Raw genomic sequence first — 24367 nt, 5'->3', positions numbered from 1 at the left:
ACCATTTACAGCACAATGGTAGAAGCAGATCATCCTGGCAAGCTTTTCATTGGTGGCCTCAATAGAGAAACCAATGAGAAGATGCTTAAAGCAGTATTTGGGAAACATGGTCCCATATCAGAAGGTAACTCTTAAAACCGTGTGTGTGTGTGTGTGTGTGTGTGTGTGTGTGTGTGTGTGTGTGTGTATTTTCACATGTATATTTCAATAGGTATGTTTAAAATATGTATGTTATATATATATGTTTTGAAAAAATATATTTTTTCAAAGTTCATTGTATACCTACATTAAAATGCCTTATGCATTTTAAACTCTTATTTTGTAGTATCTGTTTGATATTTGGAAAATTCTCATAGTAGTAGGTTAAGGTTCTATGGAAAGGATAACCTACTACTTAGAAAGGAAAATGAGGGAAAGTAAATGTGCTGTGGAGTTCCGAAACAAACTGGAATAAACTAGACTGACTGTAGGGGTGACTGAGTATCGAGAACCATAATAGTGATGTGAAATGCAATTATTTTTTAGTTTGATGTAACCTTTAGATGGTGAGTACCTTGATGAGTCCATTATATGAATGTAAAATGTTTTCATATATTTTAGTTCTTTTGATAAAGGATCGAACCAGCAAATCCAGAGGCTTTGCATTTATTACTTTTGAGAACCCTGCAGATGCTAAGAATGCTGCCAAAGATATGAATGGAAAGGTAAGAGTCCCTTATTACTAATATTCTAACTCTGTTCTTCAATTAACAATATTTCTAGGTCTTTTTAATATTGCTAAACTTTTGAGGATAGTAGAATGACACATGAAGCCATCCTCTTTTTTGTGCCATATACGTGCAAGTGTAGTTGGAAGGGTATTGGAATTAACATTACATAAATTAATATTTGGTAACCTTTTTCTATGTTTGTATTTCGATATGAGTGCAAATAGATTTTAAAAGGTTTTGAAGAGCTTTAAAACTTATAAGGAACCCTCATGTAAATGAAAGTAATAAGTCAATATTTATTAAATGCTATTAATTGAAGTACATCCAATTCATGGAAATACTTTTAGAGCGTAGACAAACTGGATAGACATCTAGACAGACGCACAAGAAGGAAAGACTCTTTCCTTCTTGAAGAATATATTTTATGAAAATATATTCTTGCGAAAGTGTATTTAAATAAGACCTTTACATTTACGGAAAGGTTAAGTAGTTGAAAATAGAAAATAATATGAGAACATTGAAGTCAGATAACAGAAGAAGTAACTGGCATTCTTGGCTCCATGCTTGCTTTTTCTCCTAAGGACATTTCTTTCCTGTCACCAGAGTGATTTATGTAACATGAATAGCTAATTACTCATTTCCCCAGTGTGTTTGAGGACTTGTTTTGATTGAACCAATGGTCTCTTGTCCTGTTGAGTCTTAAATCTAGAGATTGTGTGTTTACTTAAGCTTTAAACTTCTATGTAATGATATTAATTATTGAATTCCTTTACATTGTAGTCAAGAGCATTCCATTCTGTGCTCTTTAGTGTTTTTTGCTTTATAACATTATCCCAATCATGCCGGGCATGGTGGCTCATGCGTGTAATCCCAGCGCTTTGGGTGGCCAAGGCGGGCAGATCACAAGGTCAGGAGAAAGAAACCATAATGGCCAACATGGTGAAACCCTGTCGCTACTAAAATACAAAAAAAAAAATTAGCTGCATCTGGTTGTGTGTGCCTGTAGTTCCAGCTAGTCAGTAGGCTGAGGCAGGGGAATCGGTTAAACCCAAGGAGGCAGAGGTTGCAGTGAGCCGAGATCACGCCGATGCACTCCAGCCTGGCAACAGAGCAAGAATCCGTCTGAAAAAAACAAAAAATAAATAAAATAAATAAATAACGTTATCCCAATCTGTTTTTAGGTCCTGTTAGTCTTCACGCTATTCCCAAAGTGCTTTTTTAGACTTCTTGAGAATTATCCTTCCCTGTGTATGGCTCATAAATAAAATTTATGCTTCAAAAACCACTTAGATTTCATAATTTTCTTCCTCATTGCGTATTGTAGGTATTTTCTACTCGCTGTACTATGTATTAATCTATTGATCGTGAAATTGTATATAGTGCATATTTAAGTCTTGCTAGTTGCTTTTCTTTCTGTTACATCTAGCACACTTCCTGTCACATAGCAGAAAGTACATTTTTATTCACCCTTATAAATTAGTATTTCAAGCTGTGGTAGAAACCGAGAGTTGCTTTTGGTTCATGGCTTTGTGGTAGGTATGGAGATAATTTTGACTTCTGTATAGGAAGCTATGATAATTTCTTTTTTCCCTCTAGTTTTCAAGCAAAAGGGCAGGTAATTTGTGTAAAGTTTTTGTTCGTTTGTTTGTTTTTTAAGATGGAGACTCGCTGTGTGCCCTAGGCTGGATTGCAGTGGGGCCATCTTGGCTCACTGCAACCTCCGCCTCCCGGGTTCAAGCGATTCTCCTGCCTCAGCCTCCCAGTACCAGGGGCTACAGAGGCGCGCCACCACGCCCAGCTAATTTTGTACTTTGAGTAGGGATGGGGTTTCACCCTGTTAGCCAGGGTGAGCTCTATCTCTTCACCTCATGATCCACCCGCCTTGGCCTCCCAAAGTATTGGGATTACCGGTGTGAGCCACCGCGCCCAGCCAACGTTATTTCTAAATTACTTCATCTCACGTATTTTATTGTGTTAAAATAACTATGAATGTTGTATGCACATTAATGTTAAGATGGCCAATAAAGGAGGTTCTTTGAGTTTTCAGGGGGAATTAACAGTTAAGGAATTTTGGCTGACTTCAGAACACTGGGAAGGAAGCAGCCGTGGGCAAATCTGGGGAAAATATTTTGAGCCCAGAAATAACAAAAGAAGTTTCAAGGTAGGAACAACGGGCGATGTGGCTGCAAGCGGTCTTGTTCAGGGATTTAAGTCCTTCCTCCAAATAACAAAAGCCATGTAATTTTTAAATCGCATTATTAGCTGAACTGTTTTCAAAAATTGCTGTGGCCTGTAGAAAAGATTACAGTGAAAAATGTTATTATGAAATTAATTAGGATAGTTAAGCATTTCTGAGAAATTACCTGAAGTACTATATTAAGATTCGTTTTTTAGGGGCACGTCTAAGGCAATGTAAGAAATGAGTAAGGCAAGAAAACTTAATGAGATCAAACAAGGATCACATTTACAGAAACATTTTTAGAGTCAATATAGAATTGTAAATCATATGGGGACATTTTATGGAAGTGTTAGCAAATCCAACAAGAAACAACTCATAATGAGTAATGTGCCTAATCACTCTGAAAAAGTAAGCTCATTTTTTTTTTAAATGACACGAGTTTCATTGGGACACTGCAACTTTCAAATCAGTGATGTGACTACAAAGATGAAGTGGATTATATATTGTAAAAAACAGATGTGCCACATTCTTCCACAGAATGTGTGATGGGTCAAACTTTTTTTTTATGTTTGAGTTTTTTTTTTTTTTAATGATGGAAAAGTTTTCAAGGAATTTGAATAATAGAATTTGTGTTTGATCCCTTAATGGAAGGCATGTGCTCAGTAACTATCTCAAATTTGGCATTGCGAAAGATGTGTTCATTTTAGAAGAAAAAAAAGTTTCCTTTTGGGAGAAAAATACCTCAAATTGAACTACAGTTGATGTAAAAATGTTTGTAAAATGTGCTTACGTTAAATGTGCCGGTGTTATTGATAGTACCCTTAATACTTCTAGTCTTTGCATGGAAAAGCAATAAAAGTAGAACAAGCCAAGAAACCATCTTTTCAAAGTGGTGGTAGGCGGAGACCACCAGCTTCTTCGAGAAACAGAAGCCCTTCAGGAAGTCTGAGATCTGCAAGAGGAAGCCGTGGAGGAACAAGAGGGTGGCTTCCCTCACAAGAAGGGCACCTGGGTAATGTTTTAAAATATAAAGATGGAACCATAGGACTGAAAGAAAATAAGTTTGACGATATTGAAATTTCTTAATTTTTTTCTTTCCTGTATGAAGAGAAAATTAGCTTATTGATAATAAGCAAACTTATTTCTAAGTACTATAAAGGTGTATTATAAGAATGATTGAACTAATATCTAAAATTTGTTTAACAATTATAATAAGTTTGCACTGAAGTAACACACATTTGAAACTGAGTTGTGTTTGTGAATGCTGATTGCCTGTACTCAACCGGTTTTCTGCAGAACTCATTTATATTCATTATACTTTAGAGTTTTCTACTTTAGGGCCCAGAACTTCGTGTCAGTTGTATTATCAAAGTACGATGTAATATTTAAAATTTTCCAACAGGAAGAAGTAACTGAATACTGAAGATTGATTTTGCAGTATTTGTTTTCTTGTGTCTACATGTGGAAACATCTATGCAAATGTATTGCTTTGTAATTTTGATACAGAGAGTTTGTACATTGGCCTGCCGTAAAGCATTTTCAATTTAAGAAATGTAGAACTTTAATTTCTGAAAAGAGTCTGTGACTCTGGAAAGATCTAAAAACCACTGCTTCACAGATATGTATGAATCTTTCTTTGCTGGAGGCTGAGTCACTGAAAATGATATTTATGAGTGATTTACTTAATAGAAATGAGGGGTCCATCTTTACATATAAAAGAAAAACAAACCATATATTTAAAAAAAAGGAAAAAGAAAAAACTATTGGATGGGCTGTGCGAGGTGGCTCACGCCTGTCACCTCAGCACCTGGGGAGTACAGGGGAGGTGGACCACGAGGTCAGGAGTTCCAGACCAGCCTGGCCAACATGGTGAAACCCTGTCTCTCCTAAAGATACAAAAAAATTTGCCTGGGCCTGGTGGCGTGCACCTGTAATCCCAGCTACTCAGGAGGCTGAGGCAGGAGAATCACAGGAACCTGGGAGGCAAAAGCTGCAGTGAGCCAAGGTTATGCCATGGCACTCCAGCCTGCGTGATAGGGCAAGAGTGCATCTGAATAAATAAATAAATAAACCTGTTGGTTAACTTGTATTATCTATTAACCAACCTTCAGAACTCTAACAAATAGCTTGGAGTTTTAATAACCAGACATGTAATTAATTGGAGATTGTTTTCAAGTTGAAATTGCAGTGTTTGCTCCATTTTAAGATGCGTAGCTTCACGGCTGTTTTGCCTCCACTGATCTTGAGGGTGAGCTTCAATTATACTCTGCCACGGACGAGAATGTGTACATAAATTCTAACCTGTAACACCACCTGGCAATTGGCATATATCTACGTTTTTGTAGATGTATAAAAATATGTTTATATTACCGAATATGCAATTCTTAAAGACTGTTAAAATTCAGCATAGTCTCATCTGAAAATTAGTGTCTCATAAGGGAATTTTAAGAATTCTATATTGTGTTAACAAATTTTAGAGACAATGTATTTTCCTGATATGTGATTTCTTGGTATTGGAAATATTTGAGTTTCTTTGAATGGAAATTAGTTTATCTTTATGATGTGCTTTGAAAATTTTTCCTCATTACAGAATGATATAAACAGTCATTTATCATTTTTCTTTTAATATTTTTATGTATATTATATTTGGATATTTTAGTGATAGATTTCTGCCCCCGTTCACTCCCCATTTTCCCACATCTCTCCTTCATACCGATATATTATGATACTTGAGTTTCTTTCTAGATTTTCTAAATGAACTTTTAATGCTTGAAGTGTACTAATACCTTGTAGGAATGCTAATTTTATTAGTTTAGACAAAATGTGAATTTGTTATAAAATGTAGAAAATATTTGTAAACAACTAAAACTTAGCCATTTAAGAAACAGTGACGTCAGTTAACTAAAAAGATTTTGTTTGAAATACAGATGATGGTGGATACACTCCTGATCTCAAGATGAGTTATTCTAGGGGACTCATTCCAGTTAAAAGAGGTCCATCTTCAAGAAGTGGAGGTCCTCCTCCGAAAAAATCTGCTCCTTCTGCTGTGGCAAGAAGCAATAGTTGGATGGGAAGCCAAGGTAAATGCTGCCTGACAGAAAGACCGTAGTTTTTGTATGACTAAAAATGAGCCGTTTTAGCTGAATGCTTAGCTTTAAGTTCATTGAACAAAAGAGAAGTGACACATACGTGAGCATAATTACTGATTGATAGCTTTTATTATAGTTTCTATCTCACTAGGTACATTTCAGATTTATGTTGAAGAAATACTTGAGCTTCTCATTGCAGATCAAAGAAGTGATTAGAGTGAGGCCAACATTCCTTTTAATCCTGTGTTGGCTAGAAAATTCCCCTTAATTTTTCTAAAAGTTCCTAGCAGTATTCTTTGATGGTAGGCTTCTTGATCTAATTAACTCTTCCATTTCCTAAGTCCCCTGGTGTCCCATTCTAAAAATTGCTTGTTCGGTGACTTTGCTGGGTTGGAGTCTTGCTCTTACTAGGTGAGAGTGCACTATGTGAGACGACGGCTTACTGTAGCCTCAAATTTGTGAGATGACGGCTTACTATAGCCTCAAATTCCTGGGCTCAAGCAATTCTGCTGTTTCAGCCTCCCGAGTTTGTGCAACTACAGGCATGCAGCAGCACACCTAGCTACATTTTTTTCCCTATGTTTTTGTAGAGAGAGGATCTGACTACATTGTCAAAACTGATGTTAAAGCCTGGGGCTCAAGCGGTCCAGCTGCCTCAGCCTTCCACACTCACTCACAGTGTGAGCCGCTAAGCCTGGCCGTCCAGCTTCTGAGACCTCAGTAATGCGTATGTGCAAGGCATACTCACTGCTTGCATGAAGATTCAAAAGAACTACAAGAGCATTTAGCAGACAAGGAGTCATTGGGCTTAAATATGATTTAAAAATAAATTTAAGGCTCGAGAGGTAGACACGTAGGAGTCCAAAATTCTTAAATTAAGTGGATATCACAGAAATGCAGAGTTGTGAAATATAGGTGTATGTAAATCAGTAATTGAGATTGTACCGGGATGTTTAAACATTAACACAAGATCCTTAGTGTAAGATTTGAAATTATTTGAGGAGAGAATTTAGAACTCAGCAACATGAGGTGAGCGGTAGGGTTGAATGCAAGTAATACTTTTGAGAAGAATTGTAAGACTGCAGACTGAACAGAAGAAAATAAGACAATAAATAAAAGTTCTTAGCAAGGAAGTTTAAGCAGAGCAAATTAAAATTCTTTCTTAGTCCTCCATCCGCATACGGAGGAAGTTAAAAACTGCCATTTTCAATTTTACATTTCATACGTAGAGTATCGGTGAAGGGAGGTATTTATTGGCTTCAGGATACCCAAGCCAACACATTTCCATTGGAAAATTAGCCAGTGAAGGTATCATATGTGAAACACTGACCGCTAAGGAATAGCAAGTGAAGAATATATTAGAGGAGAAACTTTCTATTTTGAAACAGCAACAGTGTTGTAATGACCCCTTGCATAGCATTGCTTTCTTTGCAGTAAAAGCAAATCTTGACCATCATTAGAAAATCTTCACTAATACATTTTAATTTGTCAACATTTAAGATAGAGCCAACCAGTTAAAGAACTTTTATGTAAACATTTAGCATATAGTCATTTAAAGGTAGCTGTATTTATGTGTCTGTGAGATGGACTGAATGATATTGGAAAATCTACCTTCTTTGGCTGAGAAAGAACAATGTATGTAAACTTTAAAATCAGTGAAGAGTTTGATGGTTTTACGTGTTTTCCCTGTGTCACTCACAGTCATCAGTAATTTATATGGAAAGGAAAATAATAACTAAGTAGTTATTAACCATTACAAATGAACTTTTACCTAAGCATTAATGTTTGCCTTCAGCTTCATTAGAAGAACTGGCCTTGTGGGAGCCATGGGATTATCCAAAGCCATGAGAAATATTCACAGTGTCATGTCTGTCTAGTAATTTAGGAAACAAAGAATGGAGTCATAGAAGAAATAATTTTAAAAAGTTGTTTGAGAGAAGAGAAAATAGCGTTTCAGATTTGGTGTTCTTTACGTAATGTTCCATCATTTGAATGTTAAAGGTCCCATGTCACAAAGAAGAGAGAATTATGGAGTTCCTCCACGCAGAGCGACAATATCTTCCTGGAGAAATGATCGCATGTCAACAAGACATGATGGTTATGCAACTAACGATGGGTAAAGGAAAAATTAAAAAGCACAGTTGATTTTTTTTTCCTGTGGTGATGAAATTCACATAACAAAATTAAATATTATAAGGTGAACAGTTAGGTGGTGTTTGATACATTCTGTGCCATGCAACAACTACCTCCATCGAGTTCCAGAACATTTTCATCACTCCAAATTGAAACTCCTACTACCAGTTAAGCAGTCCCTCCCATTTTCTCCTTTTCCTCAGCTGCTAGATAACACCAGTCAGTGTTCTGCCTCTGAACTTACCTGTTGTGGGTATTTAATGTTAATGTGCTCAAACACTACATGACTTTTTGTATTTGTCTCCTCTCCTTTTGCATGATGTCCTGAAGGTTCATTTACATCATAGCACTTCACTCCTTCCACAAGCTATTAACCCATTATTTTATCTGCGTTGTTTCCACTCGAGTATTTCTACGCACCAATATTTGTTTGAGTGTGCTTACTCGGTTCTGGGTGTATATGAGTGGAATTGCATGGTCCTATGATAATGATGTTTGTTTTCTTGAGGAACCACCACATTTCTCCATAGTAGCTGCATCATTTTCCGTTCCAACCTAGCATTGTATCAGCAATCCAATTTATCTACATCCTCTCAAACACTTGTTATTTCCTGCTGTTTGAAATTTATTGCCATTCAAATGTGTGTTTGAAATATGATATCCCATTTTCGATTTGAAATGCATTTTCTGCACCCATTAACTCATCATGCACATGTATCCTAGAACTTAAAGTATAATGAAACAAAAAGAAATGCATTTTCTGAATCGCTGAATATGAGTATCAGTCCCGTGTGCTTTTTGGGCATTTGCCGATTTTATTTGGAGAAATATCTGTTTAGATGTTTGGCCTTTTAATTTTGTTTAAGTTGTAAGTTAGTCATGTATTGGATACTAGAAGTTGAAAATTTAAAATTTGTTGCTTAAACTTATGCACACAGAAATCATCCAAGTTGCCAAGAAACGAGGGATTATGCTCCACCATCTAGAGGCTATGCATACCGTGATAATGGTCATTCTAATCGGGATGAACATTCCTCTAGAGGATATAGGTACTGTAACTTTTTCTGAATTTGTCAAATAGATTTCTTAAATTGCTCATTCCAACTAACGTTCTATCAGGGCTCCAATTTATCTACATCCTCTCAAACACTTGTTATTTCCTGCTTTTGAAAATTTATTGCCCTTCCAGTGTGTGCGTATGAAATATGATATCTCATTTTGGATTTGAAATGCATTTTCTGCACCCATTAACTCATCATGCACATGGACCCTAGAACTTAAAGTATAATTAAAAAAAAAAGAAATGCGTCTTCTGAATCACTGAATATGAGTATGTGTCCCATGTGCATCTTGGGCATTTGCCCATTTTATTTGGAGAAATATCCATTGAGATGTTTGGCCTTTTAATTTTGTTTAAGTTGTAAGTTAGTCATGTATCGGATACTAGAAGTTGAAAATTTAAAATTTGTTGCTTAAACTTATGCATACAGAAATCATCGAAGTTCCCGAGAAACTAGGGATTATGCTCCACCATCTAGAGGCCATGCATACCGTGATTATGGTCATTCTCGTCGGGATGAAAGTTATTCTAGAGGATACAGGTACTGTAACTTTTTGTGGATTTGTCAAATAGATTTCTTAAATTGTTCATTCCAACTAACATTGTATCAGGGCTCCAATTTATCTGCATCCTCTCCAACACTTGTTATTTCCTGCTTTTGAAAATTTATTGCCATTCATCTGTGTGTGAAATATGATATCTCATTTTGGATTTGAAATGCATTTTCTGCACCCATTAACTCGTCATGCACATGGACCCTAGAACTTAAAGTATAATAAAAAAAAGAAATGCATTTTCTGAATCACTGAATATGAGTATCTGTCCCATGTGCTTTTTGGGCGTTTGCCCATTTTATTTGGAGAAATATCTATTTAGATGTTTGGCCTTTTAATTTTGTTTAAGTTGTAAGTTAGTCATATATCGGATACTACAAGTTGAAAATTTAAAATTTGTTGCTTAAACTTATGCATACAGAAATCGTCGAAGTTCCCGAGAAACTAGGGAGTATGCTCCACCATCTAGAGGCCATGGATACCGTGATTATGGTCATTCTCGTCGACATGAAAGTTATTCTAGAGGATATAGGTACTGTAATTTTTCTGGATTTGTCAAATAGATTTCTTAAATTGTTCATTCCAACTAACATTGTATCAGGGCTCCAATTTATCTACATCCTCTCAAACACTTGTTATTTCCTGCTTTTGAAAATCTATTGCCATTCATCTGTGTGTGTGAAATATGATATCTCATTTTGGATTTGAAATGCATTTTCTGCACCCATTAACTCATCATGCACATGTATGCTAGAACTTAAAGTATAATAAAACAAAAAGAAATGCATTTTCTGAATCACTGAATATGAGTATCTGTCACTTGTCCTTTTTGGGCATTTGCCTATTTTATTTGGAGAAATACCTATTTAGATGTTTGGCCTTTTAATTTAAAGTTGTAAGTTAGTCATGTATTCGATACTAGAAGATGAAAATTTAAAACTTGTTGCTTAAACTTATGCACACACAAATCATCCAAGTTCCCGAGAAACTAGGGATTATGCTCCACCATCTAGAGGCTAGGCATACTGAGACTATGGTCATTCTAGGCAGGATGAACATTCCTCTAGAGGATATAGATACTGTAACTTTTTCTGGATTTATCAAATAGATTTCTTAAATTGTTCATTCCAACTAACATTGTATCAGGGCTCCAATTTATCTACATCCTCTCAAACACTTGTTATTTCCTGCTTTTGAAAATTTTTTGCCCTTCCAGTGTGTGTGTGTGAAGTGTGGAAGCTCCTTTTTTATTTGAAATGCATTTCCTGAATCACTGATTATGAGTATCTGTTTCATGTGCTTTTTGGGCATTTGGGCATTTTGGGCATTTGGGCTCTGTGGGCATTTTATTTAGATGTTTGGCAATTTAATTGTGTTTAAGTTGTAATGTAGTTATGTTTTGGATACTAGAAGGTGACAATTTAAAATTCCTTGCTTCAACTCGTGCACGCAGAAATCATCCAAGTTCCCGAGAAACCAGGGATTATGCTCCACCACATAGAGACTATGCATACCGTGATTATGGTCATTCTAGTTGGGATGAACATTCCTCTAGAGGATATAGGTACTAACATGTTATCTGGATTTATCAAATGGATTTCTTAAATTGTTCATTCTGAAATTGAAAAGACTTTTTTTTTTTTCAATTTAGTTATCATGATGGCTACGGTGAGGCCCTTGGTAGAGATCATTCTGAACATCTAAGTGGAAGTTCTTATAGAGATGCACTTCAGAGATACGGTAAGGGTCCAGGATGGATTTGTAAATTACAGAATTTTATTTAATAGACCAGATTGTTATTTTAATGAAATTCTAAGGAAAATTGTAAAGGCCATATGCAACATGTTTAAATATTGAGTATTCTTAACAGTATAAAGCCTAGGGAATGATATGAAGGTGAGAACTTCAGTTAACGTTAAGAAAATGTGACTGAGCATTTACTTTAGAATTAAGTTTGTTAAGCTGCAAAATACTACTCTTACACTTCTCTTAAATAAAACCTTCTGACTATTAAAGCCTTGATTAATATCCTGTCAACAAAGGCGGAGGAAAGCAGATATTTCCAAATAGTACTTTAACTAATTCATGCTTTAATGATAGCAGTAAAAATGTTTAAATGTAGTCCCACATATTATTTTACCAACCCTGCAGGGACCTCTCATGGTGCACCACCTGCAAGAGGGCCTCGGATGTCCTATGGTGGAAGCACCTGCCACGCATATAGTAATACACGAGATAGATATGGCAGAAGTTGGGAGAGTTACTCGAGCTGTGGTGATTTTCATTATTGTGATCGTGAGCATGTTTGCAGAAAAGACCAAAGGAATCCGCCTTCTCTGGGTAGGGTGCTCCCTGATCCTCGTGAAGCATGTGGTAGCTCAAGTTATGTGGCATCTATAGTAGATGGTGGGGAGAGTCGATCTGAAAAAGGAGACTCGAGCAGATATTAAAGCAAGCATTGAAAATAATAGTTATTGCATACCAATCCTTGTTTGCAAATCAAAAATTGAAATGTTATTTCTGCATTGTTACCTGCATATTACTGAAAGAAACATGTTGGTTTTGTGGAGAGAGGTAGATACTAACTTCCTCCATGAATTTTTTGAGGTATTCAAAGGAAAAGGAATTGTTTTCAAAGTAATTTCATACTTGTTGATGCTATTTGAAAAGTGTTTAGATGTAATATCTACCTTAAAATTTTCACAATAAAATTTGACATGTACTGCAAGATGCCTGGTGTTATTGGTTAGCCGCGCATGCTTAAAGCAAATTCAATAGGAGAGTAAATTGTGTAGTCTGTTGTACATTTTCCTTTGTTTCTTTGAACATAGGTACAAAATTAGGGATGTGTTATGTCGCCCTTGCAAGCTGCTCAAGTTTTGTAATTAGGCTGTTTCTCTTTAAAAACTAACAAGGTTAAAATGTTGGAGAAGTCTTCAGAAAGACTACAAAACTGTCTGCCTCACCATAAAACGTTTATTTTTTAGAGGAATAGTACAGGTCAAAGGAAATCATTAGATGTATTGATACTAAAGTTTAAGACATCCGGAACATTCTATGTGAAGCATTCTGTGACTGAAGAGGATAACGGTAATGAAAACTTTTTTTTTCACCTAAATCAGAAGTGAACCAGCTAAGTTTCTCAGGTGCGTAGCATAATGAATTTAAATGTTCGTAGTTTAAATAGTGGAAAGTAAGTGTTTTGTCTTGTGAGGTTCCCACGTTAATTTTTTCTTGAATATTTTGACAGTGGATGTTGTAAGTAATGGTTTAGTAATATGTTCTTACAGATAGGAATAATCTAGAGTGGTTGGGATAGTATCAGTTTTTTTTTGAGATGAAGTGTATAGCTTTGTCGCCGAAGCTGGGGTGCAGTGGCTCTGTCTTGGCTTATGGCAACCGCTGCCTTCTGGATCCAAGCTATTCTCCTGCCTCAGCATCCTGAGTAACTGGTATTAGATATGTGTGCCGCACAGCGGGGCCAATTTTTGTATTTTTAGTGCAGACAGCGTTTCACCTTGTTTGCCAGGCTGTTCTTAAAATCCTGATCCACCCTCCTCAGACTCCCGAAGTGCTAAGATTATAGGCGTGTGCCACCACTGTCAGCCTATCGTATTTAATTGATAATATGAATGGAAACGCTTTAAACCTCATACTTAGGGGAAAGTGAAGTGTATAAAACATAAACAACAGCATAAAGTTTCCGACGGGATTGCTTAAAGTTTTAAGACATCACTGAATGATACAAATATTTAGACCGAAATAACTAAATGAATTAATTTTCCTGATTATACAAACTAAAGAAATGAAATACATCAAGTTCCAGAAGTTTTGCAGTCCATAATTCTTACAATTGACAGACTAATCTGCAAGGAGGAAGTATTTTCTTGAAAAATTTTGACAGAATCATCAATTTTTACAGGGTAAGGGTACAAATAATTTTAAAGGGAGAAGTTACCAACTTTGATTTTCAAGTGAGTTATTCATGTTATGGAGTGTTTTCATTCACCTGTAGCATTGTGAGGATGAAGTGAAAAGATAAATCTCCCGAGTCTTGTGTATCTTACTGTCCATGTGTGATGGCTCAGGTCTCTAATTCTAACACTTGGGGAGGCCGAGGCTTGCAGAGCACTTTAGGACAGGAGTTGAAGACCAGGCTGGCCAACACCATGAAACCCCATCTCTACCAAAAATACAAAAATTAGCCGGGCATGGTGGTGCCTGCCTGTAGTACGTTGCAGTTAATTGGGAGGCTCAGGCAGGACAGTGGTTTGAACCTGGGAGCCTGATGCTGCGGTGAGCCGATATTGCACCATGCACTCTAGCCTGGGTGACAGAGTGCGACTCCAACACAAAAATAATTATATCAATCAACAAATATATACATAATAAATAGGGTATCCTTCAGTTCAAGCACTTACCGATTCTTTTTTCTTTTTTAGAGACAAGGTCTCACACTGTTGTCCAGCCTAGACTGCAGTGGCACCATCATAGCTCACTGCAGCCTTGAACACGGGCTTGAAATGTGCAAGCCTTCCATTTCAGCCTCCCAAGTAGCTGGAATTACAGACACACACCAACCACCGTGCCCAGCTTTTGTGTTTGTGTGTGTGTGGTAGGGACAATGCTTTGGATATATTGTTCAGGCTGGTCTCAAACTCCCAGACCGAAATAATCCTCCTTCCCTGGCTTCCCAAAGTGTTGTGATTATAGCCGTGAGCCACTGAGTCTGGCATATCTTTTCTCATTATGAGCGACATTCCACCTCACTGAGTCTGGCGTATCTTTTCTTGGTATCAGCGACATTCCACCTTCGCTCTATTAATTATTTTGAGATGTACAATAAATCATTATTAAGTGTAGTCATCCTGTGCCACTGAACACTAGATATTATTCCTTCTAAGCAAGTATAATTTAACCCACCCCCATCCCCTCTTTGATCCCTCGCTTACCAGTTCACATTACTTGTATCAAAATATCACATGTATGCCAAAAGTATCTACAACTGTTAGGTACAAATTTTCATTCCCTTCCTCCTTCCCTCCCTTCCTTTCTTCCTTCCTGTCTTTCTTTCTTTTTGTCTCTGTATCTTTTTCTCTCACTGATTTTTTTTTTTTTAAGAAAGAATCCTGCCCTGTCACCTAGGCTGGAGTGCAGTGGCGTGATCTCAGCTCACTGCTCCCTCCTTATCACGGGTTCAAGCAATTGTCCAGTCACACTCTCCTAAGCAACTGCAACTGCAGTCATATGACACCAATCCTGTATGTGTGTGTGTGTGTGTGTGTGTGTGTGTGTGTGTGTGTATTTCTATTTTCAGTAGAGACCAGGTTTCACAATATTTGCTCGGGCTGGTCTTGAACTCTTGTCCTCTAGTGATCCACTCACCTCATCCTCTGAGAATGCTGGGATCCAGGCGTGAGCCACAATGCCCACCCAGTTTTATGCATTTGTCTCTTCAGTAATCTCTCCTATTTTATTATTTTATTCTCTTTTTATTTCTGAGACAGAGTCTCGCTGTGCTGCCCAGGCTGGAGCACAGTGGTGTGATCTCACTTTACTGCAAACTCCATCACCAGGATTCAATGGATTCTCCTGCATCAGCCTTCCAAGTAGCTGGGATAATATCCATGGGCCACCAAGCTTGGCTAGCTTTGGTATGATAGTAGACATGGCATCTTGCCATGTCTAATTTCATATCTATTTTAAAGCTCAGTTTATAAGCAATACTGACTTCCTGGAATGTTTTCTGTTTACAAAACTATAGTACTATTATTTAGCCTCCTCAGATAAAATATGATAACACACAAAACATACACACACAGACAAAGACACGGTCAGTGATCAAAAAATCAGTGTAGGCCACGACCTAAAATGGAACGTGAACTGCTGCAGTTGCCTAGAATTAAAGCAGACCAGAGTTGACCCATACCAGGCTGAGAGATGTGAACAGAGGCTTTCAAACAACTCTATCAGATACATGTTAGATTATTCTCCAGCCATAGCGAAGGGGCATTAAAGATCTGTTGTGTTTAGAAGAGTCTCGATGATTTGACTTTTCCAGGGTATTAGCATTCATGATGTTGGCCTTTACAGCTCTCTGCAATTAAGTCAGTAGACAACTCAGTTTTTCTAGGAGTCTAAAGTGCTTTTCAGAATTATCTAAAGCTTAGTGGCTTAAACAATAATTATAATTTACTAACTGTCAGTCTCTGCAATCCCCCGCAGTCACTCAGCCAAATGATTGTGGTTCTGGGGCACTCAGGAGGACGCAATCTAGTGATGGCCAAGGTTGGGGACGTTGGCGGGTGTCTTCTCATCTCCCTGGTGCCATGGCTAGCGTGACTCAAATAGCAGGGGCTGGACTGCTGAGATGCTCAGACATCTTGTTCTGTTTCTTTGAGTCTCTCCATTGGATGTCCCTTCTGCATAGTGTCATCAGGGTGTTAGACTTCGTGATGTACTGGTCGGGGGCTCCTAAGGGGGATGAGAGCAGGAGAGTTAGGCAGAGCTGTGTCACCTTTTCTAAACTAGGCCAGAGGTGGTCCAGTATCCAGAAAATGCTTGCACTGTTTTCTATTCATTACAAGCAAGTACTGTGTTCAGTCCCATCAGGAATATTTTCAAATGGGTGTGAGAAGAATTTCAAAGTGTGTTTTAGACCACTACAGTGGTCATGCCTAATAATTCCTTATTTTTACAAGTGCTCGATGGGTTTTTCCCAAAATAATAGCAGATACAGACTTTTAAACTTGAAACCTATGTATCATAGCTCTGAACATTTGGCTATATGTTGAAATAACTTGAGCAAAAATTGATTTTGAAATGAGAGTTATAAATAAAATACATGAGATAAAGTCATAAATATATGGATGAAATGCTTATAAAGAGATCAGCCTTAAAAATGTCAATAGGTCTAATATGCCACTATTTTACTATTTCTATGGATATTACTTGGATAAGAGGACAAGGACTCAGGGGTGTGCTGCTCTATCTCTTCACCTTGAAACTGCAGCTGGGGCACCAGGAGTAGCAGTTCCCGCTAACACCATGTGGTGAGGACAAGGAGTCCATTCAGGTTAAGGAGGGTGTGAGCATATTGTGATCTGGAAGAGAGATACACCTGGTACAGCAACCAGGATCAAGGTCCCTGGCACATGTTGAAATCCCCCATGCCCAGCTGTGGCAGAGTGAATCCCTCAGCTGGTGCTGTGCCTCCAGGTATGTTCTGAAAGCAGCTGCCTGCGCTGAGAAGGATCCCCTCATTCCCTTGTCATGTGGGAGGGTGAGGCTTGTGGCCCCCGCTCTGTCTGTTCCCGCTCTTTGCCTTCCCATTATCCCACTGCTGGGTAAGGTGGCAGGACCCCGGAATGTAGAAGGGCCCTGGGTTGTTGACAGTGCCTGTGGGTGGCCATGTACTAGGAGGAGAGTCCTCACTGAGCCTCCCACGAGCTTGGAGGCGGGGAAGGAACAGTCCTGGGGCACTGGCTGTTCCAGAGTCCAGGGGTCTGTCCCAGAGAAGGCCAGGGGGAGGTTGTAAGCCTGTGGATCTGCAATCTAGGTGGAAGACCTGTATCTGCCATGGCTGACATCATCAGGGCATGACACTCACTGGGTGGAGAGCTGGGCTTATGCATTTTACCCCTGTCCTGAAGAGACCCTGCATGCCTGGTTCTCCTGGGAACAGTGATCCTAGGGACCCCCCAGTCTGGGTCCACTCATGACCATAAGCTTAGGATCTTGTGTGCCTTGCTTCCTGTCTGCCCAGGTGAGGCATCCTGGAGAGGGTGCATGGGGCAAAGCTCGTGTGCGCACACCCAGCACTGGGACGGGGTGTCACCGGCCAGTTAGGCTCTCCTGGCCCTCTCCTGAGCTCCCACCTGGCTAAGTGGCAAGTGTCCCATCTACCTGAACCCACAGCCCAGGTTTCTCTTCCACCTACTGACCCATGCCCTCTTAGGGAGAATGCCACCCTCCCTGGAGACTCAGGCCCTGCCGGACCCACATGCTGTCCTCTCTCATGGGCCGGAGACTCTGGTGCACAGGGATTCCCGAATAGCGAATCCCAAAGCCCTGCAGGTTTCACTGATTCTTACCTGAATGCCCCAGCCGAACACACAGGTAAACACAGGCAGCTACTAGGTTTTATATCCCTCTGGGTGTCATTTCAGGTTTATGACATCTCCTCTAGGTAGCTTGTGCCAGCCACCCTTTTCCTCCTCCCTCTGCCATTTGTGAGAACCATGAGGACTCTTTGCTTCTCCCTAGCATGCAGACTTCACGGGTCCTGAAGTTGGATTGCCAAACCCAGCGGCACCCTGCTTGCCAGCTTAAGAGCTGAGTTTGAGGCACACCTGTGGGCAGGAGTGTCGGCCCTCCCAAAACCAAGGTACACAAAGGTACACAGGCACACGTGTGCACATGCGTGCATCAGCTTAGACACACAGGCTGGACACGCAAACTGGAATGTGCCCATACCCACACTGGTACGAGGGAAACTGGGTGTCTACACCAATACTCAGGTGAGGCTTACTGCTCAGCCACGTACCCTCCCTGGACACACACAGAAGATCCCCTGCCATTTAATTGATCATCTGCAGTAGGATTTATTTTTACTTTTATACTTTTTTAACTTACCAAAGTATGTTGCATTCTTTTCCCCATCATGAAAAAGACTTTGATACAAGTAAAGAGGAAAAGCACTTTTTATAATGAAATCTTTTATCTGCATCTATATTATTAAGGCATTTAAAAAACTTTATGTCTATTTTTTAATGTCATAGGAAATGTCTTGAGAGCCGGGGAAGCATGAATGAGGATGGCAGAGGGGATAAAGCATGTCAGGGGAGCCTGGGGTCATTGAAACAAAACGTGACAGGGCTGGGATAGCCATTCTAGAAGTACGTAGACCTAGGCACGCCCTGCGTGCACTCTAGTTGAGCCCAAACTGAGCCCCAGGTAGTAGCAGGCCTCAAGGCGTAGAAGGGAGCCAGAGAAGGATGATGAGACAGCTATCCCTTGAGCCTTGCTTCTCACCCATTGACCTTTGCCACTTCTGCCTCAGGCACTTCAGGTTCCCCAATTCTGAAATATGAGTGTTACAGTTCCCTGATGGGCCTTTCTGCCCCAGTCCAGGGATGGCCTGGGATTTCTCACTGCAGGCTCCTCCCTGAGCCTTGAGTTCTCCATGTGTGTCACAGCTGCAGGACCCACAGGCCTTTGAGCCCCCAGCTGTGGGCTGCTTACCTGGCCTCCTCTCTGTTCCCTCTCTGAGGACCTAATCCTTAGGTAGTGCTGCAGGGGATTGAGACGGAAGCCCTGACTGATGATCTGGAGGAGTGGGGAAAGTGGTCTGTGAAAGGTCAGGTCATAGTTCAAAGCCAGTTCCCAAGATGCCAAGGAAAGACCAGCAAGGTCCTTTCCCATGACGCCCCACAGCGGCCCCTGCCTCAGCAGTCCTGGCTGACCCTGAGTGGTCACAGTCAGCCAACTAGCTGAGGAAGCTCAGGTAGGCTGTGTCCTTACTGAAGGTGGGGCTTCTTCTGATGACTCTAGAACCACTGGACTACACTAGAGCCAGTGGCCCTGCATCCTGGAACAAGAGTCAAAAAGGCTCATGCCAGGCCTAGCGTCCCACACTCCACCCTCTACCACACCAGGAGGCACTCCTTACCAAGGATGTGAACACGATATTCCTTAATGATCACTTTATTGTGGAAATAAAGGTTGTGACAAAAGGAACACTTCATCCTGCTGCCGGTACCTGGGATGGCTGAGTTCCTCCACCTGCCATGCCAAGAAGAAGAGGACAGACTCAAAGGATCCATTTCATCTATCTGGGCTGAGGGCCTGCTGACTGGGGTGCAGCATGTGTTGCCCCTTCCCAGCTCTACCACTCAGAACCCCTGTGCCCCAGGAGGACCTCAACCTGAGCAAGACCCTGGACCCGTCCCGCAGACCCCGGCTCCTCAGGCTGAGCTTCAAATCCATCCTGTAGCTTACTTAGCAGGACTTCCTCATGGTTTCTGAACTCTGCCGACATGTAGGTGTGCTGCACAATCTGCCTCTGGTCAAGGAACCTCCAGATGATTGGGTGGGCATGCCAGGAAACACCCCACAACTTTGCAAGAGCTGGGAGAGTGTTTGGCAGGGCTATCCCAAAACCTTTGACCTGGTACCCTGCATTGGTGGTCCTGTCTCTGTCCAGTGTTGGGGGCATGGTAGTGGTTGTGGTGGTCTTGTGGGAGGGTGGAGGGAGGCCCGGAAAGCTCCTGCCAACAAGGAGCGGGCGGCACAAGTAGGCAGGGGATTGGGTGTGGGGTGCTGTTGTGTGAGGCGGCTGTATCTTCAGAGTTGCTGAGCTGCACATGGTCATTGTGTGCTGGATGCTGGACTGGCTCTGCTGAGGGTGTCCAGGTGTGCAGTCCCCTCTTCTCCTGGTCTTCCTGAGGGGTGGGCGTGTTCACTTGAGGGAGCTGCTGTGGATAGAGGGGACTGCAGGGCTGTGCCTGTTGCTCCCCATGGGGCTTCCATGTGTGTAATGGAGGTGTTTGTGCAACGGAGGTTGTATATGCTCAGCTCTTTGGGTGCAGTACAGGCAGAAGGAAGAAAGCGTATCTGGGGAGTTTGTGCCTGCCTTGCAGAGGACAGCAGCCCAGTGCACCGTGAACCCAAGTCTTAAGCACCTTGTGTTTCTGGGGTAAGGCTGCTGGCCACAGACATGGGCAGCCAGGGTGGTTTCTATGGCTGGCATGGGCTTGCAGACTCCCCTTCCTCCAAGGACTTTCTCATGGAAACATGCCCTTCAAGTTTCTGCTGTGAGTGAAGGGTCCATGGGGCTCCTATTCTCCCTTGTGAGTGCTGAGCTTGGCTCCCAGTCCCTACCATGTGCTCTCAGGGCACCCCCAAGCAAGCTGCCCTCCTATCTGCAGGACCCTGGCCTCAGCTCCCTTCGCTATCCCCCATCCCCTGCCTCCTGGTTGTCCCCGTGTGCCCCTTGCTTGGCTCCCCTGCTCCCCACCCCAAGAAGCCAGATGCCCACCCCCTGCTGCCAGTCATTCCGAATGGGCAGCTGCAAAGATGTGCCTCTGGCCCAGAAGCTGGAGATGCCCTGGCTGATGGCCCCTGTGCCATCCAGGCTGGGAAGGCACCTCTGCCAAAGCTTACATCTCAGCTGTGGGCAGGCCATGTGGACTGGTTATTCATGGAACTCTGCTTCAAGTGAAGGGCCTCCAGCGAGTCTGTGGCTGGCTGGGGTGTGCTGGATCCAGGGCCAGGCTGTCTGCTGGTCCTCCACCAGGCTCCATGTCAGGCTTCTCCTCAACCACCACCTGGACCATGCCATGATGTTGTCCACCACCAGCACCTTCTCCTCCCCCAAGAGTGCCTTCGAACTCTGCGCCCTGGCTGCCCTCTCCTGCAGAGCCTCCAATTTGAATGGGGTGCCTCCTTTGGAGGTCCCACTGACCATGACCTGCACTGTCCACTCACTGTCCACTCCACGTCCAGATAAGTATATCCTTATAGTATACTTAAAAAAAAAAAACCTTAAAAGCATTCCCATTTCTCCACATCCTCTCCAACATCTGTTGTTTTCTGACTTTTTAATGATTGCCATTCTAACTGACATGAGATGGTATCTCTTTGTGGTTGCAAGGTCATGGATGAAGCTGAAAACCATCATACTAAGCACACTATCACAAGGACAGAAAACCAAGCACCGCATGTTCTCACTCATAAGTAGGAGTTGAACAATAAGAACACAGGGACACAGGGTGGGGAACACCACACATGGGGTGGTTGGTGGGATGCGGGGCTGGGGAGGGATAGCATTAGGAGAAATGCCTAATGTAAATGATAAGTTGATGTGTGCAGCAAACCAACATGGCACATGTATCCCTATGTAACAAACCTGTACGTTGTGAACATGTACCCTAGAACTTAAAGTATAATAAAAAAAAAAAAAAAGAAAAAAAACTGAAAAGGAAAAATAGCTCTACAAACCCAAATACTAAATAGAAAATTAGTATCAGTGGCCTAGAATCTAACTTGCATTAAGATATCACAAACATTCAGCAGATAGTTTCTAAATGCCACAGTAAGCCTGGCAGTCTGCAAGAAGCTCAGAAAAACATGGTCCTTCTGAGAGTGCAGTTGTTACAGGCACAGAGATAAATGAGGAATAATAAGTGTGATAACTGCTGTAATAGGCAAATACAGGAAATAGAAACCACATTTTCCTCATTTATGAAACACAAGTTTAAAAACCCTTTTGAAGTTCAAATGAGAATATTTGCTGTTACTGTATAAACTGTCAAGTAGCTATACAAATTTTTTTTTCTCACAGTGATTTATATCATGTGTGTATTACATGGTTAGTGAAGCATTCTCATAAAGGAAACCTTGAAATGTGTCCGCTGTTCAGTTTTTGTTTTTCAACTGTTTCAGTCATTGTTATTTATCATATTTTCCCTAGGGGATTTTGAATTTTAAAGAGAATATGTAAAAACTGAAAAGAGAAGGACAATGAAATTGCAAGACTACAGTCATAATAATTTCCTTGATTAATTCAATTGTTTATAGAGCAAGATTAGATTATATTTCTCCCAAAAGATTCTTGGAGAAATTCTAAGATGATGCACTCATTGTTAGAAATTGCCAAGTTGTTGCTTAAGTTAGACTTAACACTTTTTAAGCCTAAAGATACAGTAATAGTTATGTATTTAAACAGGGAAAATAGGATTTTTAGTGCTACTTTCTCTCACCTGGAATAATTATAACTTTTAAATTGGTCTTTATGTCAATTTAAATTTTTCATTATTCTACGTCATGTTTTGGATAAGCCATGTATTTTTAAATTTATTTTCATCCTTTTGGTACTTCTGTGAGAAACTGCAGACTTAAATTCATATCACAACTATGTTTCAGTTTTACTTCTCTGTTCCTAAAGGTTCACAAAAATAAAGAACTCCACTTACGCTTGTATCTTTCAGCAACCTTATTTCAGAAAACGGTGCATATTACTGCAGAAATCACATGGACAGGTCCAAAGCGGGGAGGAGGAGGATGAGGAGGAAGAGGAGGAGGAGGAGGTGAAGAAGAAGAAGAAGAGGAAGAAGAAGTAGAAGAAGAAGGAGGAGGAGGAGGAAGCGGCAAGCTTTTAAGTCTATACATTAGTATCACTGTGTCAGAAACTCAGTAGTCATAGTGAAATAAAAACAATGATCACAGTCAGTCAATTCCATCTCATACCTAGACTGAAATATGAAACTTCTAAAGAAAAGAAAGTTAAGAACTTTGGGCATATCAAAATGTTCCTATACAGATAAAATTATTGGTGACTTTTTCTCACTAGAAAACATACAATTCCATGCTTTGTATATGTGTAAATAAAAATATTTTTATTTCCATCAGTTATGATGTGCAAGCAAGTAATAAAGTGAAAGTACACTAATAAAATGATATAAGGAAATTTCTCTGTGTCAAAAAATTCCATTGAGGCCATTAATTTTACAAAAACCACGGAGAATGCATGGTGAAACTACACTATACAGTACTTTTTAGTATTTTACTTGCATTTTAAATAATCAACAAAGGAAAGGAAATTCTTAATCATTATTTATTACCAATAACATTATTCTACTCGAATAATCCTTTTGAGATTAAGTATTTTAAATAAAACTTTAAAAACAAATTGTATTGACTGATACCAGCTTTCAATGAAATAACACTTCTGTATTTGTAGTCATGTGAAGTATAAATTTCTCCTCACAGTGGATCTTTTATAACACCAGTTTTATTGATTTCTCTGATAGAAACCCTGTGATAGCTCATGCATGGCTTTACTGTAACCATACATTACATGACTCCAGAGAGTAGCCTTCAAATAGATGGAAAAATTATATTTGTGACAAAATTCTAAGAAAGGGAATGGTAAAATGGGAGAATAATTTCTAAATTTCTAACTGTTCATCAGTGGATTTGGATATATTTAGATATAGACAAATATTAGCACACTGCAAGTTTGCACATGTGTATATAAATTTATATGAGATACCCATAATGTGTGGGTTGTGTAATATTTTAATCCTCAATTTTACATGTGGGAAATTTGGTAAGAGTTTATCTTTATCAAATAATCAATTTGAAGTACTATACTCAATTTGATGTAAAACCAACAAAATCTCTGTCAACATTCACTTTAATTGATCCAATAATGTTAACTGATGATAACTTCATTCTCTTTGTCCCCTGTTGGCAGCCTGAAAGTTGATTCTCACTCTAATTCATCACTCAAGGTGCCATCCACAAGACACTAACTTTGCTGTGGATTGTGACTTCTCACGCCAACACTTTTTTCCTGTAACAGTCCTACCTTTGTATATTTAAAGAATTTGTACATGGCTAAAAAAAAATAAAAGTGCTGTGAAATGTCAGGCCATGCTGTGAAATTTTCCATTGTTTCTATATCTCTGGTTGAGCTTTCATGTTATAGAGAACAAGAAAAACAATTCAGTATGTTTCTTAGTATCCAGTCCAATGCACCCTTTCTTATTAATAGCAAACCCGTCTATTCAAGGCACTGACATCTAAAGACAGCTAGATATATCAAAATCTCTTCTCATAAAAAACCTTTATATTAATCA

The 24367-nt window shown here is 40.0% G+C and overlaps 1 protein-coding gene across 8 annotated transcripts in view; it reads left to right on the top strand.

Annotated features, from left to right (window-relative positions):
* The window catches only part of RBMY1D (RNA binding motif protein Y-linked family 1 member D), a 32316-nt gene extending 8218 nt beyond the window's left edge, over positions 1–24098 (top strand). For 2 of the 8 annotated variants that reach the window (XM_011531486.2, NM_001006120.3), the window contains exons 2-12: positions 12–124; positions 601–704; positions 3724–3901; positions 5817–5969; positions 7980–8094; positions 9050–9160; positions 9602–9712; positions 10147–10257; positions 11179–11289; positions 11377–11465; positions 11877–12453. In XM_011531486.2, coding sequence (XP_011529788.1) covers positions 16–124; positions 601–704; positions 3724–3901; positions 5817–5969; positions 7980–8094; positions 9050–9160; positions 9602–9712; positions 10147–10257; positions 11179–11289; positions 11377–11465; positions 11877–12175 — 1491 coding nt within the window. In that variant the 5' untranslated portion in view covers positions 12–15 and the 3' untranslated portion in view covers positions 12176–12453. Of the gene's footprint in view, positions 1–11; positions 125–600; positions 705–3723; positions 3902–5816; positions 5970–7979; positions 8095–9049; positions 9161–9601; positions 9713–10146; positions 10258–11178; positions 11290–11376; positions 11466–11876; positions 12454–12712; positions 13872–22714 lie in introns of those variants that run through there. The other 6 variants (XM_011531487.4, XM_011531488.4, NM_001320949.1 and 3 more) reach the window with 6 other exon arrangements.
* Positions 24099–24367: the final 269 nt, after the last annotated feature.

Source organism: Homo sapiens, chromosome Y (assembly GCF_000001405.40).
Source record: "Homo sapiens chromosome Y, GRCh38.p14 Primary Assembly".
Taxonomy (NCBI): domain Eukaryota; kingdom Metazoa; phylum Chordata; class Mammalia; order Primates; family Hominidae; genus Homo; species Homo sapiens.
Note: the sequence above shows the minus strand (reverse complement) of the source record. Positions and strands in the feature narration are given on the sequence as shown.